The 25,446-nt window shown below is 55.7% G+C and overlaps 1 protein-coding gene and 2 long non-coding RNA genes across 4 annotated transcripts in view, besides 2 other annotated features; 2 read left to right on the plus strand and 1 right to left on the minus strand.

Annotated features, from left to right (window-relative positions):
• Positions 1–7,731, plus strand: LOC101927183 (uncharacterized). The gene is made up of 3 exons (XR_938252.3): positions 1–146; positions 536–695; positions 7,692–7,731. It is a non-coding gene; the product is annotated as an uncharacterized LOC101927183 (long non-coding RNA).
• KCNJ4 (potassium inwardly rectifying channel subfamily J member 4) overlaps positions 2,050–25,446 on the minus strand; it is a 28,873-nt gene continuing 5,476 nt past the window's right edge. Inside the window, exons 1-2 of one of the 2 annotated variants that reach the window (NM_004981.2) lie at positions 19,694–19,751; positions 2,050–3,894 (exon numbers count right to left, since the gene is read on the minus strand). In NM_004981.2, the coding sequence (NP_004972.1) occupies positions 2,518–3,855 (1,338 nt within the window). In that variant the 5' untranslated portion in view covers positions 3,856–3,894; positions 19,694–19,751 and the 3' untranslated portion in view covers positions 2,050–2,517. Of the gene's footprint in view, positions 3,895–19,693; positions 19,752–25,446 lie in introns of those variants that run through there. The other variant, NM_152868.3, reaches the window with a different exon arrangement.
• Positions 9,147–9,648: an enhancer, noted in NCBI's record as "H3K4me1 hESC enhancer chr22:38829429-38829930 (GRCh37/hg19 assembly coordinates)". NCBI's record gives its function as "activates a minimal SCP1, AML or CMV promoter by ChIP-STARR-seq in primed H9 embryonic stem cells {active_cell/tissue: H9 hESC(primed)}" and the evidence as "EXISTENCE:reporter gene assay evidence [ECO:0000049][PMID:30033119]".
• Positions 10,067–12,108, plus strand: LOC105373029 (uncharacterized). Its single transcript, XR_938251.3, has 3 exons — positions 10,067–10,146; positions 10,587–10,684; positions 12,026–12,108. It is a non-coding gene; the product is annotated as an uncharacterized LOC105373029 (long non-coding RNA).
• Positions 18,784–19,284: an enhancer, noted in NCBI's record as "H3K4me1 hESC enhancer chr22:38839066-38839566 (GRCh37/hg19 assembly coordinates)". NCBI's record gives its function as "activates a minimal SCP1, AML or CMV promoter by ChIP-STARR-seq in naive H9 embryonic stem cells {active_cell/tissue: H9 hESC(naive)}" and the evidence as "EXISTENCE:reporter gene assay evidence [ECO:0000049][PMID:30033119]".

Below are 25,446 nucleotides of genomic sequence, written 5' to 3' on the forward strand. Positions count from 1 at the left end.
CTCTGTCTCCAGGAAAGAGGCCTCAAGTTTCCTTCTGCAGCAGCGCAGCATACGGGGTGCACAGTGATCCACCCAAACGGCAGCTATGCTGCCGGGGCTGGTGAGACGTGGTCATTCACAAGGCAGCTCGCTGTGCTGCACAGCAGGTAAGCTTGCCTGCTGGTTCCCTGTTTCTAGAGGCAGCTGGCACCTTTGTGTGGAAGATCCCTGGGACCCAGAAGGGTGCCTTCTGCTTCCTTTCAGCCTGGGGCACACAGTCAGCCTGTAGAGTAGAAGTCGGGTGGGAGGAACCCTCAAACTCCAAGGCTCTGGGATAGATGACCAACTATGGCCACAGCTCCCTCCTGCTCGGCATGTCCTTGGCAATGTGACTTTGCCTCTTTCCCAAAAGGTGGAAACTAATTTCCCACCCTTTGAATCTGGGCTGGCCTCGTGACCTGGACTCTGGCCGATAGACTGCAGTGGAAATGATGTTATCCAAGTTCAAGGGGCTAGGCCTCCGGAGACCTTGCAGCTTCTACCTTTGCCCTCGTAGGTTGCTGCCCGGAGTCGCCATGAAGGAATGTGATGCAGCCTATTGGAGGAGAACCAAACCCCACCACCACCCCAGAAAGCCATACCAGCTGCCGACATGTACATGGGCTCATCGGGGGTTTTCCAGGCCCACTGATGTTCCAGCTGAGCACAGCTGCCGGGTAAGCCCAGGAGAAATCAGCTAGGAACCCCAGCCCACCCACAGGACCCTAAGAGAGGATGCGTCATTGGTCTCTGTTTTGTGCTGGCTGGTTATAGAGCATAGGCTAACCGAAGGCAGAGAAGGGAAGGGACTTACCCGAGGTCCCACAGAGAGCAGAGACCAAGCCTGTCTTGGTTAAGTCTGTGACCAGGTTTCCTGGCCCCTGTGCCCTTCCCATCAGTGTCCTGCCGCCAGCTCTACCAGCGGTGTGTGGATCTGCATGTATGTAGGGAGGTGCGGATCGGGTGGGCCCTTCCCACTTCCACCTGAGTTAGGAAGGGTTGGCTGACGTCCACACAGGGCTGTCCTGCCCATCATTGCAGGCGGGAGGGATGGTTAATCCCATTCTGCAGAGGATGAAACTGAGGCCAAGAGCTGACAGTCACACAGCTACTAGGTAACAAAGCTCTGACATCAAAGCTTTTGGTTCTTTGATGCCAACTCCAGATCCTTCTATTGACTCGCCGGAAGGAGAATGGCAGGTGGTAAAGTTCCCTCCAAGGGTCAGTCACTCAGAAAGGGCCACATACACAGGCACACACATAACACACAGGCACACACATGACACACAGGCACACACACGACACACACAGGCACAATTACATGTGTGCTTGCTCACTCTCTTTCTCTCCTTCTCACCCCTCCATCTTCAACCAGCCTACCCCTAATGGACCATGTACTTTATTAAAAATATATAGTTACGGCTGGGTGCGGTGACTCACACTTGTAATCCCAGCACTTTGGGAGGCCAAGGTGGGTGGATCACCTGAGGTCAGGAGTTCGAGACCAGCCTGGCCAACATGGTGAAACCCCATCTTTACTAAAAATACAAAACTTAGCTGAGTATGGTGGCTCATGCCTGTAATCTCAGCTACTCAGGAGGCTGAGGCAGGAGAATCGCTCGAACCTGGGAAGCGGAGGTTGCAGTGAGCCGAGATTGCTCCATTGCACTCCAGCATGGGCAACAAGAGCAAAACTCCGTCTCAAGAAAAAAAAATAATAATAAAAAATAAAAAAAAAATATATATATATATATATATATATGGTTACAAACTCTGTTGTCAATCTGGGCTGGGCCCGGGGCTGGAGGGACTGCAGGGAGGGAGGGATGGTCCCTCATCCCACCCCTCAGAGTCCCTCCTCTGCACCCAAACCCAACACCATCCAAGGGCCAAGGTGGCTGGCGTTGAGGGCCTCAAGGGGCCAGCCAGCTGGGCAGGGGAAGGCGCTAGGCTTGATGGGCTGGGTGGGGAGGGGTGCACAGAGAGGGACTGCATCTCCCTGTCCAGCAGGTAAAAACGGCAGAAAGTGAATTTGGTGTCTCCATCTGTCTCCATTTATAGATATTTACAAAAGAAAGTCATGAGCAACAGGCCACAGTCATGCAAAAGAAACGCACCCCCCCCTCCCCAAACTAACCCCCTGCCCACCCTGAAACCCCGAGATGTCCCCCGCCCAGCAGTCCAGCCACCTTCCCCAAGGTTCTGAGAGCAAAGAGGGCACGTCCTTGAAGAGTCAGTGGGGGAAGGGTGGTGGATCCGGGGACCTAGAGCCACCAGAAGTAGGCGCTGGCGGAACTCAGGCTGATCGGGGCCGAGCTCTTCCCAGGCCTGGGTGCTGGAGTCAGGAGGAAGGGGTCCCCCAGTCTTTGAAACCCCCACCTTCCTCCAGAAGGTCCACGGAGCCAGGGTTGGCTCTGTCCTGAGTGTGGGAGGGGGTGTCCTGGCATCCCACCCCCGGCAGAGGCTCTTGTGGGCAGTGGTGAGGGCCGGGCCTGGAGGTCAGATGGCAGACTCCCTGCGGTAGGAGATGTTGTCCAGCGGGAGGGAAGCCTGCATGCGCTCCAGGTCCAGGTGGCTGCCGAACTCCAGCATCCGGATGATGCCCGCCTCCTCCTTGGAACCCGCCTCCAGGCCCAGGCCTGCGGCCACCGCGGCCGCCGCAGCTGCCTCCTCCTCCATCTCCTCTTCCTCCTGGCTCATAAGGGCCAGCTCGTTCTCGTAGCAGAAGGCACTGGGAGGGGGCGGTGGGGCGGGCAGCACGGTGATCTTACTCTCCTGCAGCTCCCGGGCCGAGCAGCAGGGCGTGCCGGCCACCTCGTAGGTCTTGTGAAAACGTGAGTAGTCCACCTTGTAGTGGCTCTTCTCCTCGAAGACCACAGGCTCAAAGCGGTGGCCCCACAGGATCTCGCTGGCCAGGTAGGAGCTGCGGGCCTGGGTGGTCATGGCCGTGGCCTCCACCATGCCCTCCAGGATGACCACGATCTCAAAGTCCTCCGACTCCAGCTCCTCCTTGCCCATGCCATAAAGCGGGCTGTCCTCGTCGATCTCGTGGACAATGATGATGGGCGACACCAGGAAGATGCGGTCCAGGCCGATGTCATAGCCCACGTTGAGGTCCCGCTGGTCCAGGGGCAGGTACTCGCCCTCCTGGGTCATGTAGGGCTTGATGAGCTGGGCCCGCACGTGGGCCTCCACAATGTGGCTCTTGCGCAGGTTGCCCACGCGCCACATGAGGCAGAGCTTGCCGTCGCGCACCGAAATGACCGCGTGGTGGCTGAACAGCAACGTCTGCGCCCGCTTCTTGGGCCGCGCCATCTTGGCCATGATGGTGCCAATCATGAAGGAGTCGATGACGCAGCCCACGATGGACTGGACCACCACAGCGATGACTGCCAGCGGGCACTCCTCTGTCACGCACCGGAACCCATAGCCGATGGTCGTCTGCGTCTCCACCGAGAACAGGAAGGCACCCAGGAAGCCGTTCACGTGCATGATGCAGGGCTTGGGGGCCACCGGGGCTGCTCCGCCACCACCCGCCGCCGGGCCCCCCGCCGCAGGCACCCCTGGGCTGGCCTCCAGGTCACCGTGGAAGAAGGCGATACACCAGAAGAGGAGGCCGAAAAAGAGCCAGGAGACAAGGAAGGCCGCGGAGAAGATCATGAGCATGTAGCGCCAGCGCGTGTCCACGCAGGTGGTGAAGATGTCCGCCATGTAGCGCTGCGACTTGTTGCTCAGGTTGGCGAAGTACACGTTGCATTGGCCGTTCTTCTTGACGAAGCGGTTGCGGCGCTTCCGCCGGGGCACGTGGGCCTGGCCGTTGCGGCTGTGTCCGTGCATGTCCTGAAGCCGGCGTGGTCACCTGGGAAGACGCAGGGCCTGCGGAGGAGAAGCCGGACAGGTGAGATGCTGGGGAGCGAGGGGCTCCCTCGGGGCCACTCAGACTCAGCCCCAAGACTCTCAGAAGCAGGTGAGCCTGGACCAGGACCTAAGACTTCCTCTGCCCCGGCAGGCGGAGGGTGGCAGCAGAGGTGGCTCTGATGACAGGGTCTGAGCCAGTGCCACCCAGTCCGGCCCAGCTTAGAGACTGGGGTCCATAGACCAGGAAGCTAAAGCCACAAGGATCCAGGTCCTAGTCCCTGCCCCTCAACACTGCCCCTCCGGCCCTCCTATGCTCACTGTTCTGGAAGCTTCCTGATGCCCATCTTGGTTCCTCCCTGTCCCTCTGTCCTGCTTGCCCTGAGCATAGGGAGCCACGGAGGCGCTAAGCCCGCTTCCCTCCCTGGATTCCATCTCTGCACTTTTGGGCTTCTCGGGGGCTGGACATCCTCCTGTGCACTAGCCACTGGCCACGTGTGGCTCTTTACATTTAATTAAAACGAAATAAAATATTAACTGCAGCTCCTTCCTTGCATGAGCCACATTTCAAGTGATCAGGAGCCACATGTGGTCAACGGCCACCACACTGGACAGAGAAGACACAGGAGAGTTCTATCACTGAGAAATTTCTGGCTGGGCACAGGGGCTCATGCCTGTGATCTCAGCATTTTAGGAGGCCGAGATGCAAAGATTGTTTGTGCCAGGAGTTTGAGACCAGCCTGGGCAACAGAGTGAGACCCCATCTCTACAAAAAATAAGAAAATTAGCCAGGCATGGTGGTGCATGCCTCTGGTACCAGCTACTCAGGAGGCTAAGGCAGGAGGATCTATTGAGCCCAGGGGGTCAAGGCTGCAGTGAGCTGTGATCATGCCACTGAACTCCAACCTGGGTCACAGAGCAAGACCCCATGTCAAAAAAAAAAAAAAAAAAAAAAAGAAAGAAAAAGTTCTACTGGGACCCGCAGCCCCACCTGGGTCTGAGCTCCTTTCTTAGACTCTTCTCTCCCAGTGTTGCTTTGAGTCCTTGAGCCCAAATTCCTGCCCAGTGCCCACACTTGTTAGGAGCAGTGGTGAGGGGAGAATCCAATGTGACAGTCAGGGTGGAGGAAGGGGGAGCCCCCAGCTCTGACTCCTCTGTAGACATCGCTATTCCCATGTCCCAGGTGGCTCAGAGATGGAAAGCCACCTGCCAGCCACAAAGCTGGCAGTGGATACAAACTTGCGTGGCACCAACATGAATGAGTTGATGGCGGGGAGACAGGGAGTGGGAGGGGAGGACACACCTCGGGCAATTCAGTTCACCTCTCAGAGCCTCCATGTCTTCATGTAACATGGGCACCAAAACTCCCTACCTCATGGGACCTACGGGGACAGCAGGTGCTGGGGTAAAGCCATCACCCTCCTGCCTTCCTTCCCACACTTCCCAGGAGCTGGTGACAGGCAGGATTTGCCTGTCAAGCATCCCCAGCTGTTGCAGCAGAAGAGGCCCCTCACCCCACTGGGTGGCGGGATGCGCCTCGGGCCCGTAGAGGACAGACCTTCTCTCCACCCCTCTCTGCCATTGCGTCCCCAGGGAAGACATGCTGCTGCCCCAGGCCCCAGCAGCTGGCAGGGCCAGGACTGGGCCTGGGTTCCCAATAACATTTTGGCCCAGAATTACATAAGGCTGGAAGTTTCTATTTTCTGTTCTATTCTTCTTCCTGATCTAATTGTGCATCTGTGGCAATGTTTATACACTTCCCCGGTTCAGGACAACTCGGTTGCCGCAGCAACCGGTACGCGCCAACGCTATAATTTAGAGATCAACAGCCTCAGAGCCTGCCTCTTCCCAAGAGAAACTCCCTCTCCGGGCCCAGGGAGAGTGAGCCCTGCCCCCACCTCCTCCCCCGCGGTCACCCACCCTGACTCCGAGTTCTTCTCCCTATTCCCCTGGTTCTCAAAGAGCTCCCTGGCTCCTACAGTCCTGGGTTGAAGTCCTAGATCCACTGTGTGACTTGGGCGAGCTGTTGACTACTCTGAACCTCAGTTTCCTCATCTTGAAAATGGGGCTGACTGGGTGCGGTGGCTCACGCCTGTAATCCCAGCACTTTGGGAGGCCGAGGCGGGTGGATCACCTGAGGTTGGGAGTTTGAGACCAGCCTGACCAACATGAAGAAACCCCGTCTCTACTGAAAATACAAAAATTAGGCCGGGCATGGTGGCGTGTGCCTGTAATCCCAGCTACTGGGGGGCTGAGGCAGGAGGATCGCTTGAACCTGGGAGGCAGAGGTTGCAGTGAGCCGAGATCGTGCCACTGCACTCCAGCCTGGGCAACAAAGTGAGACTTCGTCTCGAAAAAAAAAGAAAATGAGAAAATTGGGCCAATGAGATATCATGCTGGAGACCCGACAGGTCATGCAGGCACGGCCTCTAACGTAATGCTGGCCCTTCAGAGCTGGGAGGCCCAGACCCTCTTTGCCCCCTCCCGCAGCATCCCAGCAGCCAGGGCTCCAGGAGAAAGGCTTGGGGTTCTGGGGCCAGGCACACCTTCTGCTCTGTAAATAGAGTTTTCAGGGAGGCCTTTCTTTGCTAAATGTATTCCCCCTGTTCTGTCCCACTGCCTGAAATGGCTCCAGGGGCACCGCGGACTGTCAGGACAGGAGGAGCATAGGGTCACCGAGTTCAGGACCCTCATTTTATATCGGAGACCAAGGACATCCAGAGATAGGAAGGACTTGCTAAGAGTCCCAGAGTGGAGCCAGGTGGGCCAGCCCTGAACAAGGCCTCACCCCCACCCCAGAGCTCCTCATCCACTTCCTCCCTGCAGGGGGCTGGAGTGGGTTTTGGGGCAAGGGAAGAGAAGAAACCAGCCAGTCCAAACTGGACCACCATCCACAGGTGTGCAGGATAGAGGCAGAGGGGACAGGGTGTGGCGGCCCAGGCCTTCAACGGGTGAGGTCACTGAGCTCCAGAGAAGGTGGGGGGCCCTGCCCAAGGCCAAACACAAGCCCAGGGTTCCAGGGGATCCCTGGTTCTCTGCCCGGTGGGATTGCCTCCTGACATGGCGAGTTCACCTGGTGCTGCAGACGAGATCTCTTCCTGGACTTCCCCACCTCTGGAGGGGCCTTGGGGGTAAGGGAGCCGATCCCCTGATGGCTACAGAGATTGGGCATCCCCTCGCCAGCAGTGCCCACTCCTCCCCATTATCGAGTGCCCAGGGTCAATTCTGAGCTTCCACAATCCTCAGCCCCAGCGGCAACACTCACTCCCCAGGCCCACCAGCCCACTGGCCTCCACAGTGCAGCCCGATGGGGACATGGTTTACCCCTCACCCCGGTGCCTCCCCGACAGCCCACAGCAGGTGTCCTGAGCCCTTGCTATGTGCTGGGCCCTGTCTTGGGTTCCCAGTGCCCCCAGCACATCCTGGAGCTTAGCAGGAAAGCTGCTTCCCTGGCACTTCTCAGACCTCCACCCTTCCCCATGGAGCAGCCTCTGTGACATCCCATCCCCCTGAAAACCCTTGGTCTGCAGTGACTTGCTCAAATAAGAGCACGCTGCTGCCACCACAGACCATTTTAGCAGGAGAGAGAGGTTCAGCTGCTAATTCGAGGCTGACCCGTGCAAGGCCTGGCCAAAAAGTGAAGGGTATGAGCTTGGCATTGTGTTCTCATGTGACAACCACCAGGAGATGGCCAGATTTTCTCTTCCTTGTCACATGGGGCTTCCCAGGGAAGGCTGACGATGGCAGGAGAGGGTCAAAAGGCCTTGACAATTCAGTACCATCCTCCTCTGACTAGAGATGTTTTTTTTTTTTTAAAGGGCCCTGCTGGGCTAGGTGACTCACGCCTGTAATCCCAACACTTTTGGAGGCTGAAGCGGGCGGATCACAAGGTCAGGAGTTCAAGACCAGCCTGGCCAACTTGGTGAAAGCCTGTCTCTACTAAAAATTCAAAAAAATTAGCTGGGCATGGTGGCGGGCGCCTGTAATCCCAGCTACTAGGGAGGCTGAGGCAGAAGGATTGCTTGAACCTGGGAGGCAGAGGTTGCAGTGAGCCAAGATTGAGTGACCGCACTCTAGACTGGGTGACACAGAGAGACTCCATCTCAAAATAAATAAATAAATAAATAAATAAATAAAATAAAATAAAATAAAATAAAAAAGACCCCTGGTTGTTTAGGTGTCTGCTTTATCCCTATGATTAAACCACTTTTGTGGATGCAGGGATGCAGGGCCTAATTTGCTTGCATGGAATGTGCACTAGAAGAATGCAGTTTGAGGCTTGTTTTCTGCGATGGAGGCCCTGGGAGGTGGAGAGGCCCTCTGTCACAGCCCTGGTATGTGACCTTGAACAAGTTCTTCCTCTCCCTGGCATCAGGTCCTCCTCCAATTAAGGGACTACTCATCCTCCCCAACTTTTTTGAAGGTCACAGAGCTTGACATAGAACCAGAGGGATTGGTGAAATGGGGCCTGAGGTTTCCAAAACCCCCAGTGCAGGCCACTAGCCCATGGCAAAATGAGCCTAAGAAGGATCAATGGGCCGGGCGCGGTGGCTCACGCCTGTAACCCCAGAACTTTGGGAGGCAGAGGCAGGCGGATCTCTTGAGGCCAGGAGTTCAAGACCAGCCTGAGCAACATGGCAAAACCCCATCTCTACAAAAAATACAAAAAAATTAGCCGGGCATGATGGTGCACGCCTGTAATCCCAGCTTCTCGGGAGGCTGAGGCATGAGAATCGCTTGAACCCAGCAGGCAGAGGTTGCAGTCAGCCGAGATCACACCACTGCACTCCAGCCTGGGCAACAGAGCAAGACTCCATCTCAAAAAAAAGATCAATGGTACTGCTGTCCTTTATATCCTGGGACTCTTTCAGTGGCAAACATTTTTTTAGAAAGTGATGGACATAGGAGATGCTGACTGCTTTTTAAATGTTAATGTCTTTTCTTGGCAAAATGAAGAAGTGACAATGCTACACCAGTTACCAGACTTTTCTTTTAATTTTTAAAAATTTATTATTGGCCGGGTGCGGTGGCTCACGCCTGTAATCCCAGCACTTTGGGAGGCCAAGGCGGGCGGATGACCTGAGGTCAGGAGTTTGAGACCAGCCTGACCAACATGGAGAAAACTGTTTCTACTAAAAATACAAAACTAGCCAGGTGTGGTGGTGTGTGCCTGTAACCCCAGCTACTCGGGAGGCTGAGGCAGGAGAATCACTTGAACCTGGGAGGCGGAGGTTGCAGTGAGCCGAGATCGTGTCATTGCACTCCAGCCTGGGCAACAAGAGTGAAACTCCGTCTCAAAAAATAAATAAATAAAAATAAACACAAAAATTGATTATTACTATTTTTTATAGAGATGGGGTCTTACTATGTTTCCTAGGCTGGTCTCAAACTCCTGGTCTCAAGCTATCCTCCTGCCTCGGTCTCCCAAAATGCTGGGATCACAGGCACGAGCCACTGCATCCGGCTTTCTCTTAATTTTACTGTGCTGTAAACATCCAAAATCTGCAAGTCTTTAGTCCAGACTTCATTAGCCAGCTGGGGAAACCGAGGCCAAGAACAGGGCATGGCACCGTGTCCGAGGTGGCACAGTAAGTCAACAGCTGTGGAAGGAAGCTCAGGCCTCACCACTGACACCAGCCATCCTGCCCCATCCTGAGGAATTAGGGAGGGGCTGGAGACTCTGCCTCCTGGGGGTCCAGAGGAGGCAGGAAGACCACCCCAACCCTGTCAACTTTTAGGTTTTCCCGACAATTTTAGGACACTAACTTATCTGTCCTTGCCCACAACTCCCTTTGCAAAAGAAAAGCTGATCAGCTTGCAGCAGCCTCGGCAGGTCCCAGCTACCTGGAAGGCTTCGAGGGCAAATCTCCTCCCCGAGATCCGTGCCACTGACCAGAGACACCATGGCCACTGCAGGGGCACCTCCGCCAGGCCCTGCCAGAGCCAGGCAGCAGCTCCAGCCCTGCCTGAAACTCTGCTCCTTTAGACAGGAGCAGGAAGCTCACGCCTAGAGAGCAGTGGCCAGTGCCAGCCTGCCAGGTTGTCATGCATCTCATGTCATCCCACCACCAGACTTCGAGGTGACTATTATTGGGTGAGACAACCAGGGAGGTGATGTGACTGGCCTGAGGTCACAGAGCTCAGCCTTGGGGATCCGAGGAACCAGTCATCCTCTCTCTCCAGCCCCTCTCAGGGAATTTCTGCCAACTCCATGCCAGGCGCTGCCTCCTCTCTCTCATTGAAGCATCACTGTATCCTTTGTGTATTTAACAAGTATGTATTAAGCACCTACCACAGTAACAAGAAGGGTTGTTATTTCTCCTCCCCAGCTGAAGAATTGCAGGCTACAGAGATGCCGGGGGGTTGAGGGGTGATGCTGAGCTTGAGCTGGAAATCTAACTTGAGTCTGACTAGCTCCAGGTCCTTGGCTCACCCTGGTCCCCAGCCTCTGGCTTCGGGACCCCTTCTCCTGCCACATCACCCTGCTCAACCTGGGACCCCCAGGCTCTCCCCATCCCTCCAGACCTACCCTGAGCCCCTGAGGCTCTCTGACCCTGCTACTCTGAGCCCTCAGGCCTCACTGTCTATCTGCAGCACATGGCCTCTGTTCAATATGAGAAAATGTGCTGGTTAAACCCATATGTTTTGGGTGGCAAGACCTGGCTCTCAGTCTCAGCTCTGTCACCTCCCAGCATATCCTCTTTGAACCTCAGTTTTCTCATCTGCAAACTGGAGATGACGATACTGGTACCTTCCTCACCAGGCCGCTGCTGAATGAACATGACAACCACCATGCGTTATTACATTGCAGGTAAAGTGCAAAAACTGATGTTGATAATGGTGATGACAAAGATGCAGAAGCTGATGACCAAGAATGCTGGACTGGGAGCTGGGGAACCCCTTCCACTCCTGACTCCACCACTAACATGCTCTGGTCAGAAGTTCCTTCCCTCTGTCTGCAAGATGGGGAGACCATCATGGCTCCCTGGCAGGAGAGGTGGGAAAATGTACAAAACGAGGCACCCAGACAGAGCTTGGAGTCAGGTGACAGATGGGGGGCGCTCCTGAGTCTCCTTAGCCCCAGCCATCCCTGAGCCCTCCTGGGCCTAGATGGGGAGGCTGACTCTCCAGCAAATGTCCTACCAGAGGGAGCCAGCACAGGGCAGTGGAGGTCAGGGGACGCAGCCCAGGGCATAGCTCAGCGCACCCAGGATGGGTTCTGAAGGGTAGAGGATTTTCCTGGAAGAAATAGACAGAATTTGCCGGGCACGGTGGCTCACACCTGTAATCTTAGCACTTTGGGAGGCCGAGGCAGGTGGATCACCTGATGTCAGGAGTTCGAGACCAGCCTGGCCAACATGGTGAAACCCTGTCTCTACTGAAAATACAAAAATTAGCCAGGCGTGGTGGCAAGTGCCTGTAATCCTAGCTACCTGGGAGGCCGAGGAAGGAGAATCGCTTGAACCCAGGAGGCAGGGGCTGCAGTGAGCCAAGATCGTGCCACTGCACTCCAGTCTGGGCAACAGAGCGAGACTCTGTCTCGGGAAAAAAAAAAAAAAAGAAATAGACAGAATTAACACCACTGTCCCATTTCCCAGCCCTTGTGGAGCACAGAGTCTGTCCCCACTCCAGCTGAGGCCCTCAGGTCTGGTTTGATTGGAGGGGCTTTCCACTCCAACAAGTGGAACTTTGCAGGGAGGAAGAGAACTCAAGACCCCAGGCCCACGGCTCTTTGAGCTGTACCCCTCAAAGAGTAAGGGGAGCCAAAGACAGACTGAGCCACAGGGGAAACTGTGGCAGGGTCCCCACCTGCCACTGCCCTCTGCAGGCCCTGCAGTCCCCTGTCCCTGGGAGGCCTGACTCCCTCCTCTTCATGAGTCTCAGGAACCCCCCGCCTGGTGCAGCAGCTTCAGCTCTGGAGCCTCTAAACAACTTTGTGCCCATGTGACCTTATGCGAGGAACTTAACCTCTCTAGTCCCTGCATGCCCCATCTTTAGGAGAAGCTAATAATAGAGCAGACTTCCTAGGACTGTAATGAGGACAAATGGGATCATGCACACCACGTGCCCAGCCCAGAGTAAGTGATCGATAAGGTGCATTTTACTCAAGGCTGAACATTGCTCCCTCTTGATTTCCTCCCCTCAATTTCAGATGCAGCATCCCAGAGCCTGCCTGGGCCCCATCCACAGGGCCCTGCCCAGTTTGTCTTCATTCACTGCACTAGGGAGCTGGTGGGCAAGAAGAGCAGCCTCGGTGCTGTTCCACACAGAGCTGGGCTGGAACCAAGCCGAGTCCCACTTGGCTCTAGCAGGTCACTGGATTCTCTGAGCCTCGGTATCTCCAATGGTGAAAGGAGCATCGCAGTGCCTACCTGCAGGGCCTGATGTGGATTGTCCCAAAAGCGCATGCCACATGGTGGGGGCTCAAGAAAGCTGTCCCCCTCCCCACCTTCTTCTGGACCACGAAATCCTGTGGTACACCTAGCCCCTCCCTCACCAGGCAGCCCTCTGACATCGCAAAAATTCAGGCTGAGCATCTGAGCATTGAGCACGCATTTACTCAGTACTTTACCCTGATCGATTCCTATCATTCTCACAATGATCTCAGAGGAAATTATCATTACCCCTGTTTTAGAAGAAAACCAAGGCACAGAGAGGTTCAGCAACTTGCCCAAGGTCACACAGTTTGTAAGTGGTAAAGCCAGGATGTGGGCCTGGGCAATGGGCATCAAAGCACGCTAACAAGGCATGCTACTGTCCTGCCTCGAAGAAATACTGTCACACGCTTGCTTCCACCTGGTACACATCCAGTCCTACTACGTGCCAGGTTCTGTGAAGTCAGTCCTATGGGGATGGAGAAACTGGATCACAGGGCAAGTTGGAGCCAGGACCCAGGTTCCTGATTTCAGGTCCAGCCAAACGCTGGAGACCAAGCTTTGGGCTCCACAGGGGCTTGGAGCAGCAAGGGGTGAACCGGCTCATTCCTCCTACTCTGCACCCCACCGGGCCCTCCCAACCACTTGGCCAGCGAATGTGGGGCGGGGGAGCAGGCTGACAAGCAAGCTCCCCAAAATGTCCAGAGGGGCCTTTGGTGAGGGCCAAATCACAGGCGCTGGGGGCTGGAGGACCCAGAGGCCACCTGTTTCAACCCACAGGTGTGCCCTTTGCTGAATTGCTGACGCCAGTCCTCTGCCCTCCCTCGAGAGCTTCCCACCCTCCACAAATACCTGTGCCCATCTTCCCCACAGGGCTGTGAAGGCCAGTGGATCCCTGAAGCTTCTCTTTTCCAGAACAACCGCAGCTCCCTCAGTGGCGGCAGGTGGGGCTTCAACACCCCACTGCCTGGCTGGGGCTTCCACTCAGTTACTATGGACTGCACGCTAGCTGTGGGCCAGACACAGGCCTTGGACTCGGCCAGCTTATGCAAGAGCTGGAGAGACACACTCTGGATGGTAGGCATTTGCCATCACAGGCGGCCGGATGTGTGTGGCGTTAAGCAGTTTGAAGGAAAAGTACAACATGGGGTGAGTCAGAGGGCGGGCCTCTGGTTTGATGGGCATCTCCAAAGGCCTCTGTGAGAAAATGGCAGAGCCAAGACTTGGGTAGTAAGTGGGAGTCTGTCCGGAGAACTGTATATCTTTGTGGAAGTGGGGTGTAGAATACTCCAGGAGGTCGGGCGCAGTGGCTCATGCCTGTAATCCTAGCACTTTGGGAGGCCGAAGTGGGCAGATAACTTGAGGTCAGGAGTTCCAGACCAGCCTGGCCAACATGGTGAAACCCTGTCTCTACTAAAACTACAAAAATTAGGCCAGGCATGGTGGCTCACGCCTGTATTCCCAGCACTTTGGGAGGTCGAGGTGGGTGGATCACCTGAGGTCAGGAGTTTGAGACCAGCCCAGCCAACTTGGTGAAACCCTGTCTCTACTAAAAATACAAAAATTAGCCAGGTGTGGTGGCAGGCGCCTGTAGTCCCAGCTACTAGGGAGGCTGAGGCAGGAGAATTGCTTGAACCTGGGAGGGGGGAGGTTGCAGTGAGCCGAGATCATGCCATTGCATTCCAGCCTGGGCGACAGAGCGATACTCTGTCTCAAAAAAAAAAAAAAAAAAAAAGCCAGGTGTGGTGGCTGTAATCCCAGCTACTTGGGAGGCTGAGGCAGGAGAATTGCTTGAACCTGGGAGGCAGAGGTTGAGGTCGTGCCACTGCACTCCAGCCTGGGTGACAGAGCAAGACTCTGTCTCAAAAAAAGAAAGAAAAAGGGCCTGGTGCGATGGCTCACGCCTGTAATTCTAGCACTTTGGGAGGCGGAGGTGGGTGGATCATGAAGTCAGGAGATAGAGACCATCCTGGCTAACACGGTGAAACCCTGTCTCTACTAAAAATACAAAAAGTTAGCCGGGCGTGGTGGCAGGCGCCTGTACTCCCAGCTACCCGGGAGGCTGAGGCATGAGAATCGCTTGAATCCGGGAGGTGGAGGTTGCAATGAGCTGAGATCGCGCCACTGCACTCCAGCCTGGCAACAGAGCAAGAGTCCTTCTGAAAAAAAAAAAGAAAAAAAGAAAGAAAGAAAGAAAGAAAGAATACTCCAAAAGTCTGAGTCTGGTGTTGAGAAGCTGCAGGAAGGCCAGGTTGTGGCTGTGAAGTGAGCCTGGGAGTGAGTGGACCAGGATGAGGCCACAGAGGCGGCAGATGGCAAGGGCTGCGGATGTCCCCCTCAGGGCTGGCGGGCTGTCAGGCTTTGCCTGGTCTGGTTTTAATTTCCATGTGAAATATTTAAGACAAATAGGAATAAGGACTAATACAATAAAGCCCTTAGGCCAGACATGGTGGCTCACACCCATAGTCCCAGCACGTTGGGAGGCAGAGGCAGAAGGATCACGTGAGGCCGTGAATCCAAGACCATGCTGGGCAACATGGTAAAACCCCATCTCTACAAAAAATTTAAGTTAGCTGAGTGTGGTGGTGCATGCCTATAGTCCCAGCTACTCAGGAGGCTGAGGTGGGAGGATGGCTTGGACCTGTGAGGTGCAATCCCAGCACTTTGGGAGGCCAAGGCGGATGGATCACGAGGTCAGGAGATCAAGACCAGCCTGGCCAACATGGTGAAACTCTATCTCTACTAAAAATACAAAAACTAGCCGGGCATGGTGGTGGGCATCTGTAATCTCAGCTCCTCAGGAGGCTGAGGCAAGAGAATCACTTAAACCCGGGAGGCGGAGGGTACAGTCAGCCAAGGTCACACCATTGCACTCTAGCCTGGGCAACAGAGTGAGACTCCGTCTCAAATAAATAAAATAAAATAAAGCCTTGTGCATCTACCACCAGGCTTAAGAAATACAACATTCCGGCCGGGCATGGTGGTTCACGCCTGTAATCCCGGCACTTTGGGAGGCCAAGGCAGGCAGATCACGAGGTCAGGAGATTGAGTCCATCCTGGCGAACACGGTGAAACCCCGTCTCTACTAAAAATACAAAAATTAGCCGGGTGTGGTGGTGGACACCTGTAGTCCCAGCTACTCGGGAGGCTGAGGCAGGAGAATGGCATGAACCCAGGAGACGGAGCTTGCAGTGAGCCGAGATTGCGCCACTGCACTCCAGCCTGGGCGACAGAGCGAGACTCCATCTCAAAAAAAAAAAAAAAAAAGAAATACAACATTCCTAGCCAGGTGTATTGGCTCACGCCTGTAATCCCAGCACTTTGGGAGGCCAAGGCAGGCAGATCACGAGGTCAGGAGATTGAGACCATCTTGGCTAACACGGTGAAACCCCGTCTCTACTAAAAAGTACAAAAAATTAGCCGGGCATGGTGGCGGGCACCTGCAGTCCCAGCTACTCGGGAGGCTGAGGCAGGAGAATGGCGTGAACCTGGGAGACGGAGCTTGCAGTGAGCTGAGATCGCGCCACTGCACACTGCACTCCAGCCTGGGTGACAGAGCGAGACTTCGTCTCAAAAAAAAAAAAAAGAAATACAACATTCCTAGCCAGGTGTATTGGCTCATGCCTGTAATTCCAACACTTTGGGAGGCTGAGGCGGGTGGATTGCCTGAGCCCAGGAGTTTCAGATCAGCCTCGGCAACATAGTGAAACTCTTTCCCTAAAACATAAAAAGTAGGCTGGGCATGGTGGCTCACGCCTGTAATCCCAGCACTTTGAGAGGCTGACGTGGGCAAATCACCTGAGGTCAGGAGTTTGAGACTAGCCTGGTCAACATGGTAAAACACCGTCTCTATTGAAAATGCAAAAATTAGCCAGGCATGGTGGTGCATGCCTGTAATCCCAACTACTCGGGAGGCTAAGGCAGGAGAATCGCTTGAACCCAGGAGGCAGAGGTTGCAGTGAGCCAAGATCTTGCCACTGCACTCCAGCCTGGACAACAGAATGAGACGCTGTCTCAAAAGATAATAATAAATAAAAATAAAAGATAAACATTCCCAGTATAATCCCAGTGGCACCCTGGCCCTTGCCTCAGCTAGCCTTTGAAGTCTGCACTGTCCAGAGTGCAGTGCCAGTCGCTGTGATGAGGTATATTCGGCTGGGGAGAAGACCATGATGGTAGCTTGGAGCTACCAGGATGGTGGCCATGGAGCTCAAAAGGAGATGGATTTGGGACACATGCATTCTGGGTGAAGAGTCCGCAGGGTTTGAGGGTGGAAGGGGGTTGTCGAGAGTGGCCTGTAGTGGTGGAAGACTGAAACGGGGCCAGGTTTCGGGAGCGACGGTTTCTAGTGTGCAGTGGCTTTGAACATCCAAATGCAGATGTCTACCTGACGTCAGATCCCGAGCCTCCAGAGGGAGAGTGGGCAGAGCTGGGTGCATGAGATGGTGAACGCTGGTGACAGGTTGAGTTGTGAGGGTGGGCGAGACTGGCTGGGCCAAGGGCATGGAAAAGGAGAGGGGGTCTTAGACCCGGCCCCAGCAGCCCCACAGATGGGAGAGAAGCTGCAGAGCAGATGAGGAGGACCGGCCAGAGAGCAGGAGGAGTAGGGGAGGGAGGCCAGCTCACAGACAGGAGAGGGAGCTCTCAGCAGAGTTGCCCGGTAGGCCCTGCCCAGCCTGGAGCACCTGAGGACTGACCATGGTAGCCACAAGTCCCTCCTCCACTTGGCTTCCCTCCCTCCCCAGCCAGAAAGGGGGAAATCTCCTCATGGGCTGGGCAGAAAGGGAGGTGCTGGGGAAGAGCCAGGAGTTCTGCTGGGCGGGGGTCAGGGAAGTTGCAGCAGAGGTGACATGGTAACAGCCCATGTCTGATCATCATCTGACCCTCATCCCCGCACTCCAGCATGGGTGGGGCTGGGGGTGGGGGTGAGGTGGTGTTTGCTGCTGCCCCATCCCATTGCCTCATCCTTAGCTGTCAGCAAACAAGACTCCAGGAGTTGGGGCTGCCGGCTGGTGGGGGGTGTCTCCCAGAACCTAGGGGGATGGGGGCTAATGTGCCCCTCTCACTCACACACAGGATTTCTCTGGGATGCTCGGCTGGCCCCAGCAGGTGCCCCCTAAAGAAGTGGCGTGGGAGCAGGGAGGAGTGAGAACAGTCAGGGCTGAGTTCGAGCCCCACTCCCTCACTTATCCAGTGGAGGCCACTGGGTGGTATCGCCTGTGACGCCTCCTGGGCCCTCCTGGGACTCCAGCCTGAGACTCACACGTGGGGAATGAGCAGCCTTGCCTTCAGCAGCACCGCCTGGAAGCGGCCCAAATGCCCATCCACGAATGGCACAGCACACAGACAGAAAAAGCCAGGAGAGAGCTCTGTGAGGAGCAATGTAGGTCTTCAAGATGTATTTTTAAGCAAAAGAAGGCAACAGTGATGAGCGGTGAGTATAGTAGCTACCATTTGTGTAAAAAAGGAGAGAGAAGAAATTTATAGATACACATATTTGCTTGTCTCTGCTTGTCTGTGGATGGAGACCCAGGAAGCTGGTGACATTGGCTGCTCCGGGGAGGGAAAGCAGGTGGCTGGGGACAGGGTGGGAGGAAGAACTGTCACTGTATTCCCGTTTGTGTCTTTTTAAATTTTAGAACCGTATGAATGTATTACCTGTGGGAAAATGCACATGAAAAGTTTTAAAATTAATGTGTACACATGCATATTTTCCAGAGAAGGCATTCATAAGGTTGTGTGGCCGGGCGCGGTGGCTCACGCCTGTAATCCCAGCACTTTGGGAGGCCGAGGCGGGCGGATCACGAGGTCAGGAGATCGAGACCATCCTGGCTAACATGGTGAAACCCCATCTCTATTAAAATTCAAAAAATTAGCCAGGCGTGGTGGCGGGCACCTGTAGTCCCAGCTACTCGGGAGGCTGAGGAAGGAGAATGGTGTGAACCCGGTAGACGGAGCTTGCAGTGAGCTGAGATTGCACCACTGCACTCCAGCCTGGGTGACAGAGCAAGACTCCATCAAAAAAAAAAAAAAAAAAGGACTGTCACCCCGAAAGTCTGAGAACACTTCACCTATGGGCTGCGTGGCTTTGGGAAAATTTCTTAACCTCTCTGAGTCACATCTGTAAAATGGGAAGGAATAACACCCAGTGAACAGGCATGCTGCCAAGGCGAACAGTGTGGGCAGGGGTTTGTAAACTGTAAAGTGCAGAAGCCTTTCTTTCTTTTTTTATTTTTTGAGGCAGGGTCTCGCTGTCACCCAGGCTGGAGTGCAGTGGCACTATCACAGCTCACTGTAGCCTTGACTTCCCAGGCTCAAGCGATCCTCCCACCCCAGCCTCTCGAATAGCTGGGACTTGAGGTGTGTGCTGCCATCCCTGGCTTATTTTTTAATTTTTTGTAGAGACAGGGCCTCCCTATGTTACCCAGGCTGATCTTAAACTCCTGGGCTCAAGTGATCCTCCTGTCTCAGCCTCTCACAGTGTTGGCATGAGCCACCGTGCCCGGCCTGCAGCCCTTCTTGAAGGGCATGACTTACTCTCCACTCTTCCTCACCTCCTAGTCTCCCCTCAGCCCCCTCCAGAGCTCCTCTGTGCCCCCTTCCCTCTCAGCAGCTCTGATGGAGGCTCTGGACTGGCCCTCGTTTTCCTCCTTGAGTCCTCCAGGCCTGAGGGTCCCTCTCCAGGTCGCCCCTTGCTCTCCTGCCTCTGGCCTCTCCATGACCCACACCGTGCAGTGCCCAGCTCCGCCATCCCACCTCCCTTCTCTTCTCCCCAGTCCTGTGATCTCATCCAGTCCTGTGGCTTAAAATACCACCTAGCCTGCGCCTCCCTCCCAGGCAGCTACAAGCCCACTTGGCTCCTGCTCCCTGTGTCTGCTGGACAGTGAAGAGGCATCGCGAACCCGGCACTGCCAAGCCCAAGCCATGCCCCCGTCCTCCCCTCTCCTGCCTTCCCCATCTCAGTCTGTGACTCCTCCCAGGAGGTCGCTCAGGCCTGACACCTAGGCATCATCCTCCAGCCCTCCCTAAGCCCAACCGCAATAACAATGGGTTAATAACTAACATGCACTTAGTGTTCACTGAGGGCCATGCACTGACTGGTCCACACCTGCAAGGCAGGTGCTGTCATCATCATCCCACAGTGGGCTTGGGAGCTTGCCCAAAGCGGGTGAACCTCGGGGCCCCGGACACGTCCCCTCACCTAGTCATCCACCCCAAAGAGCCACATCACTATTGCAGCCCACAGTCTCTGCCCACCACCTCCTCCCACAGCCTCCACCCACCTCCCGCAGTCCATCTCCACATCACTCCCTGCTCAGAGCTCTCGTCTCCCCAGGGCACTCGGGATGAACGCCCCGCCTCAGAGAGGTCCTGCCCTCTCTGACTGCACCCCCTCCACTCTCCAACCACGGGAAGAGACCTTCCTTCCCGTCCCTTTAACGCACCAAGTTTATTCCTGTCTCTGGGCCTTTGCACTGGCTGTTCTTTCTGGTTGAAATTCTCTTCTCCAAGACTCCACCGCTTGTGCCTTCCTACCATTCAGGTCTTGATTCAAAGGCTGCCTGTTCCAAGAGGCCCCGAGGCCCTCCCTCCCATCCAGCTCTCAGATCTTCCTGGCAGCCCTTAGCAGTCAAACCAGTCTCATCTGCAACATCATTACAGGCAGGAACCTTGCCTCCCTACTTCACCCCGACTCCCAGAGCCTGGCATAGAGTAGCTGCTTCATAAATATCTAACGACTGACAAACAAGATAACCCAGCCCGTCAAAATTCCCGGAAAGGGTCTAACTGGGTCATGTGACACATTGTGACCAAGGAGAAGCTATTTTTGACACGGTAGTCAGGGAGAACTTCCCAGCGGAGGTGGCCTCTGAGCAGTGACCAGGAGACCCTCTGTGTCACTGTACATGAGCACAATGGCCATGAGCAGAGGGGACAGAGGACAGGATGTCAGAGGGCTCATGCCTCTGCCTCACCCTCCACGGAGCATGGGCTTCTCTTCCCAGGTGTCCCCCAGGTGTCAGGGGCTCGGGGGAGGATGTCCTGGCCTCACCCAGGGATGGGTGGCAGGGACATGTGTACAGGACCTAGTGGGAGAGGGCATGGGAGACAGGCCTCAGAAGGACCAGAGACAGCAGGAGGAACAGTCAGCCCCTGCCCATGACTCAATGCTGGGCCACAGCCCCAAGGGACTGTCACTGACAGAACGCCTGCCATGGGGGGGGCCACGGGCTGCATGCCCCTCTTTACTGCTGACCACCTTCCCACTGGCTCCTCAGGCCAGAGAATCTCCAACTCCAGCCGACCCCCATCCATCCATCCATTCATTCATCACCCTAAATGTCCCCTGAGCTGGAACAGCATCTGCCTTCCTGCCAGGTGCCAGATGTGTCTCAACACAGCGCAGTGCCTTGCCTTGGAGGGCGGTCTGTAAATAATTGAGTGAACATTTATTGAGCACCTACTGTATGCTGAAGGGAAGCAGGTAAGTCACAAACCGGCTTTGCTGAGCTCCGTGCACGCATGTGTGCGTGCATGCGTGTGTGTGCGTGTGTGTGTGTGAAAGGGCATAAAGAGAAGGTCCTAGGAAGATGAGGGCAAGCAGGAGGGCACAAGGACAGAGCAGGGCTGGGCCTGGGCTGAGCGGAAAGCAGGGAATTTGGCCCGGCCTGGGATCTAGGCCCTGGGGAGAGGTGGTGGCTCTGGAGGAGCATGGGTGCCTGGACCTGGGTGGTCCACTGAGCAAGGGACAGGCGGCTACTTCTGAGGGCAGGACAGCAGCATCCTGGAAGTTGTGGCACCTATGTCTTTAGGAACCAAACATCCAGGGAAATCGGAACCTGAGCATCAGAACCTCTATCAGGGCGCCTCCTGGATTTCTACACAGGACAGTAGCTTTCAAGTTTTTTGACCAAAATCCGTAGTAAAAGCAAACATCCTGTTTGTTATTTTAACTTACTTTATATTTATTTTTTAGAGACAGAGTCTTGCTCCAATGCCCAGGCTGGAGTGCAGTGATGCGATCACAGCTCAATTGCAACCTCCTGGGTTCTTGCCATCCTCCCGCCTCGGCCTCCCAACGTGCTGGGATTACAGGCGTGAGCCACTGCACCCGGCTATATATTTAAAGCTGAAGTAAGAGCGTCACAAAATAATATTTACCCTCACTACATGCATAGTATTTTGAAATTTTCTTTTTAATTTCATTTTCGGAAAACAAGTAGTGCAACTCACTAAGTCAATTTCCCAACCCACTAACGGGGCAGGACCTGTGTGCAATTTTAAAGCACTGGCCTGAGTGGGGGTTAGGAGCGGTGAAATGGGATCCGGCGTGTGTCTTGAAGCTGTGACGGGCGGTGCTTGGACTCCGGGCTTTGTGACACACAACCATGTGGGGAATTGTTGGATGTTATGGGGGAATACTGGGAAAAGTCTGTTAGACCCCCCAGCTCACAGGACCGCCACTCTGCAGCCCAAATAACAGGGACTCTTTGGGGTCTGGTTCCAATTTTTTCCCCGGGTCTTTTAATAGAGCCCCCTCCTGCCCTGATAACAGATGCCATTCAGCAGTTGCTTACACATCTCCCAGGACAGGGCGCTCACCCACTTCTCAGGCAGCCCACTTGACTGTGAGGAGTAAGCTCTGCCGGGCTGCTGATGTAGCTGCTAAGTGGGGCCCCGCCCGTGGCTGGCTGGCCATTCTCCTCTGTCCTCTAGCCTGTTGTCTCAGGGAGCCGGGACAGCTCTGGCAAGTGGTCCTCTCTCTGCCCCACCCAGTTCTCTCTCTCTGCTGCCCAGCCACTGCCGGGTGTCTGTTGGGGGCAGCCTTGGAGCCCAGCCAGAGAGAGGCCCTTTCCAAGGTCAGGTGGGCTCAGGATCTGAAGCCTCATGGCGGGGCTGGCACTCAGCCAGCCTTGCCCACCAAAGCAGTTCTGGGGGCCTGGGTGAGGGAGGGCCGGGGGAGGCTCAGCTGTCCAGAGAAGTGGTACCCCAAGGCAGTGGCTGGTGATGGGGGTCTGGAAATCAGGCCCAGCAGTGCCCTTGAGTGGTTGGGTCACAAAGTAGTTCATATCAACGAGCTATGATACATTCATTCACTCACAGGCTCACAGGATCTTCCCAGTCACCCTCAGAAACAGATGCAAAGGGCCAGGCACGGTGGCTCATACCTATAATCCCACCACTTTGGGAGGCTGAGGTGGATGGATCACATGAGGGTCAGGAGTTCGAGACCAGCCTGGCCAACATAGTGAAACCCCATCTCTACTAAAAATACAAAAATTAACCGAGCATGGTGGTGCGCACCTGTAGTCCTAGCTACTTGGGAGGCTGAGGCCAGAGAATTGCTTGAACTGGGAGGCGGAGGTTGCAGTAAGCTGAGATCGCGCCACTGCTCTCCAGCTTGGGCAACAGAGCGAGACTCCATCTCAAAAAAAAAAAAAAAAGAAACAGAGGCAAACGCCCACCCTTACGGGGCAGGGGGTAAAGGCTCAGAGAGGTGAAAAACCTGCCCCAGATTCCGCAGCTGCTAAGGGGTGGAGCTGGACATGAACCCAGATCTTCTGTTTCCCAGTCACGGGCCTCGCCTGGGACAACTGAGGCTGGAGGAGCCTTGGGGTAGGGGAGGGGGAGGTGGGCCACTCCTCCTGTCTTGCTGAGAGCAGGCTGGGTTTCTCTGCCCCAGAGGGCAGGGCGAAGGAAAGAGGGAGTCAGGGATCAATTAGCAGAACCTTCCAGACACGAGTGGGCTTCCCCGGAGATGGGGAGCTCCCCGTGAGGAACAGTGAGGAGGGACTTGAGGCCCATTTCTCAGGATAACTGCAGAAGGGTATCCATGGGCACGAGGTTTGAAGGATGCCCAAAGCCCCTCTGCCTGCTCCATTTCACCCCCAGCCAGGGCCTCTCCAGCCTGTGCCCACCACCTCCCCTGTATGGCCCCAAGGAGCCCCTAATTGCGGACCCCATCCCATTTGTCTCCCAGGCTGAGTGGTACCTTCACACTCACAGGGCAGAGGGTCCTGGGCTTCTCAGGCCTATGAGGAGAGGGGAGGCTCCTGGGGGAGTCTAGGGTGGGGGCTGGGAGAGGAGCTGCAGGGGGTTGGGGGAAGCTTCACTGAGGTGTCCCAGGGGCCAACTCTGCCACCAACTTGAAGATGGGCACACCCCTCCCCTAGGCCTGAATCTCCCCATCAGTAAAATGGGGTCAGCTCCCCACAGCACATGCACCCTCTCCTGTGGCCCAGCTAAAGAACCCTCCCGTCCGGGTGCAGTGGCTCACCCCTGTAATCCCAGCACTTTGGGAGGCTGAGGCAGGCGGATCACAAGGTCAGGAGTTCAAGACCAGCCTGACCAACATGGTGAAACTTCGTCTCTACTAAAAATACAAAAATTAGCCAGACGTGGTGGCACACGCCTGTAGTCCCAGCTACTCGGGAGGCTGAGGCGGAAGAATCACTTGAATCTGGGAGGGGGAGGTTGCAGTGAGCCGAGATTGCACCACTGCACTCCAGCCTGAGAGACACAGTGAGACTCTCAAAAAAAAAAAAAAAGAAAAGAAAAGAAAAGAAAAAAGTAGCCGGGCATGGTGGCGCATGCCTGTAGTCCCAGCTACTTGGAAGGCTGAGGCAGGAGAATCGCTTGAACCCGGGAGGCAGAGGTTGCACTGAGCTGAGATTGTGCCATTGCATTCCAGCCTGGGTGACAAGAGCGAAACTCCGTCTTAAAAAAAAAAAAAAAAAAAAGGAACCCTCCCATCCCTGCAGCCCGGGTCGCTGGTGTGTGAGCTTCTCCCAGGACAGGCAAAACAGGAAAAGGCTGAGCACGCCCCACCATCCCCATGGGTGGCCCCCGATACACAGAGGGGCAAAGAGAGGCCCCCAGATGGACAGTGGCCTAGTCAAGGTCATGCGGAGCCAGTGAGGGGCTGAGCTGGGATTCGATCCCAGGCCCCTGACGCAGGCCACCCTTCCTACTGCTGTGACCAGGGAGTGCTGCCCTTCCCCTCGCTCCGATCTGGGGATTTTCTGGGGAGAAGGAGCTTAAAGAGACCCAGACCCTGCTCGCCTCCCACAGACCCCACAGCTCTGGGGAGTGTCAGTGAGAGAGGAGGGGCCGGCAGCCCTGGGAGCCATCAGGACACAGAGGAGTCAGGAGCAGCTCCGGGTTGAGAGGCTCTGCCACCATTGCTGAGTGACCCTGGGCAAACCCTGGTGGTCTCCGGACTCGGTTTCTCCATCTCCCAGGAGAGGAAATGGAGAGAAGGCCAATGCAGCCGCAGACAGGAGCTGCTGGGCCAGGCTTGGTGGGGGCTTCTCCTCCATCCCAGTCCCAGGGAGCTCCTCCGCCCAACTGCACCTCCCATGCCCCAGCTCCCCTCTGCCCTGCTGGGGGCCCCCCAGGCCTAGACCAAAGCTCCCAGCTGACAGGTCACCATTACAACGCTGACTTCTCCCTCCACAGCTCCTGCTGGGGTCGGGAACACCAAGGACCCCCTTTCCTGGTAGCCCCTAAGGACCTCTTGACCTGCCAATGTCTCTCTGGGGCACCTCACCCTCCCCTGCCTGCCAAGGCCAGACGTCCCAGCTGTTGGCACCAGGGCTGGTCAGGGACTGGCCAGCAGCCACAGGGAGGAGTGGCTGAGCTGTTGCATGGAAGGAAAGGGGAGGCCTAGGCTGGCAGACATGTACCCACCTCCCTTCAGGTGGCCAATGAGGGTCCTGGAGGGGCTGGCACTGGGTGCACAGTAGGACAAAGCATCTGTGGCTGTTTCCACCCAGGAGCCTGGAACCAATCCTTGCTTCTCTCTGAGCCTCAGTATTCTCATCTGAGAAGTGGGGGTGATGGTTCTCCCAGGGTGGTGGAGGATTAAGTGAAATCATGAATATGAAGCCCAGCGCTGAGCCTGGCACTCAGCTTCCCTCCTGCAGCAATACCCTGAGAACACTGCTCTCACCCCAGCCACCAAGCAACGGCACCAGCCATCTGAGCAGCCCTCACGCATGCGCATGCGTGTGTGCCTGTGTCTGTGCCTGAGCATGCACGCGCAGGCTGAAAGGGGGCTGCGAGCAGGTGGGGCAACGGGTGCAGAGGGAGGGGCAGGGGCCACACGCCAGCACTCCTCCCCACCGGTTTCCCACCCTGTGTGTCCCAACAGAGAACAGTGGTCTTAGAATCAGGCAAAACCCATCCATTCAAATCC

Source organism: Homo sapiens, chromosome 22 (genome assembly GCF_000001405.40).
Source record: "Homo sapiens chromosome 22, GRCh38.p14 Primary Assembly".
NCBI lineage: Eukaryota > Metazoa > Chordata > Mammalia > Primates > Hominidae > Homo > Homo sapiens.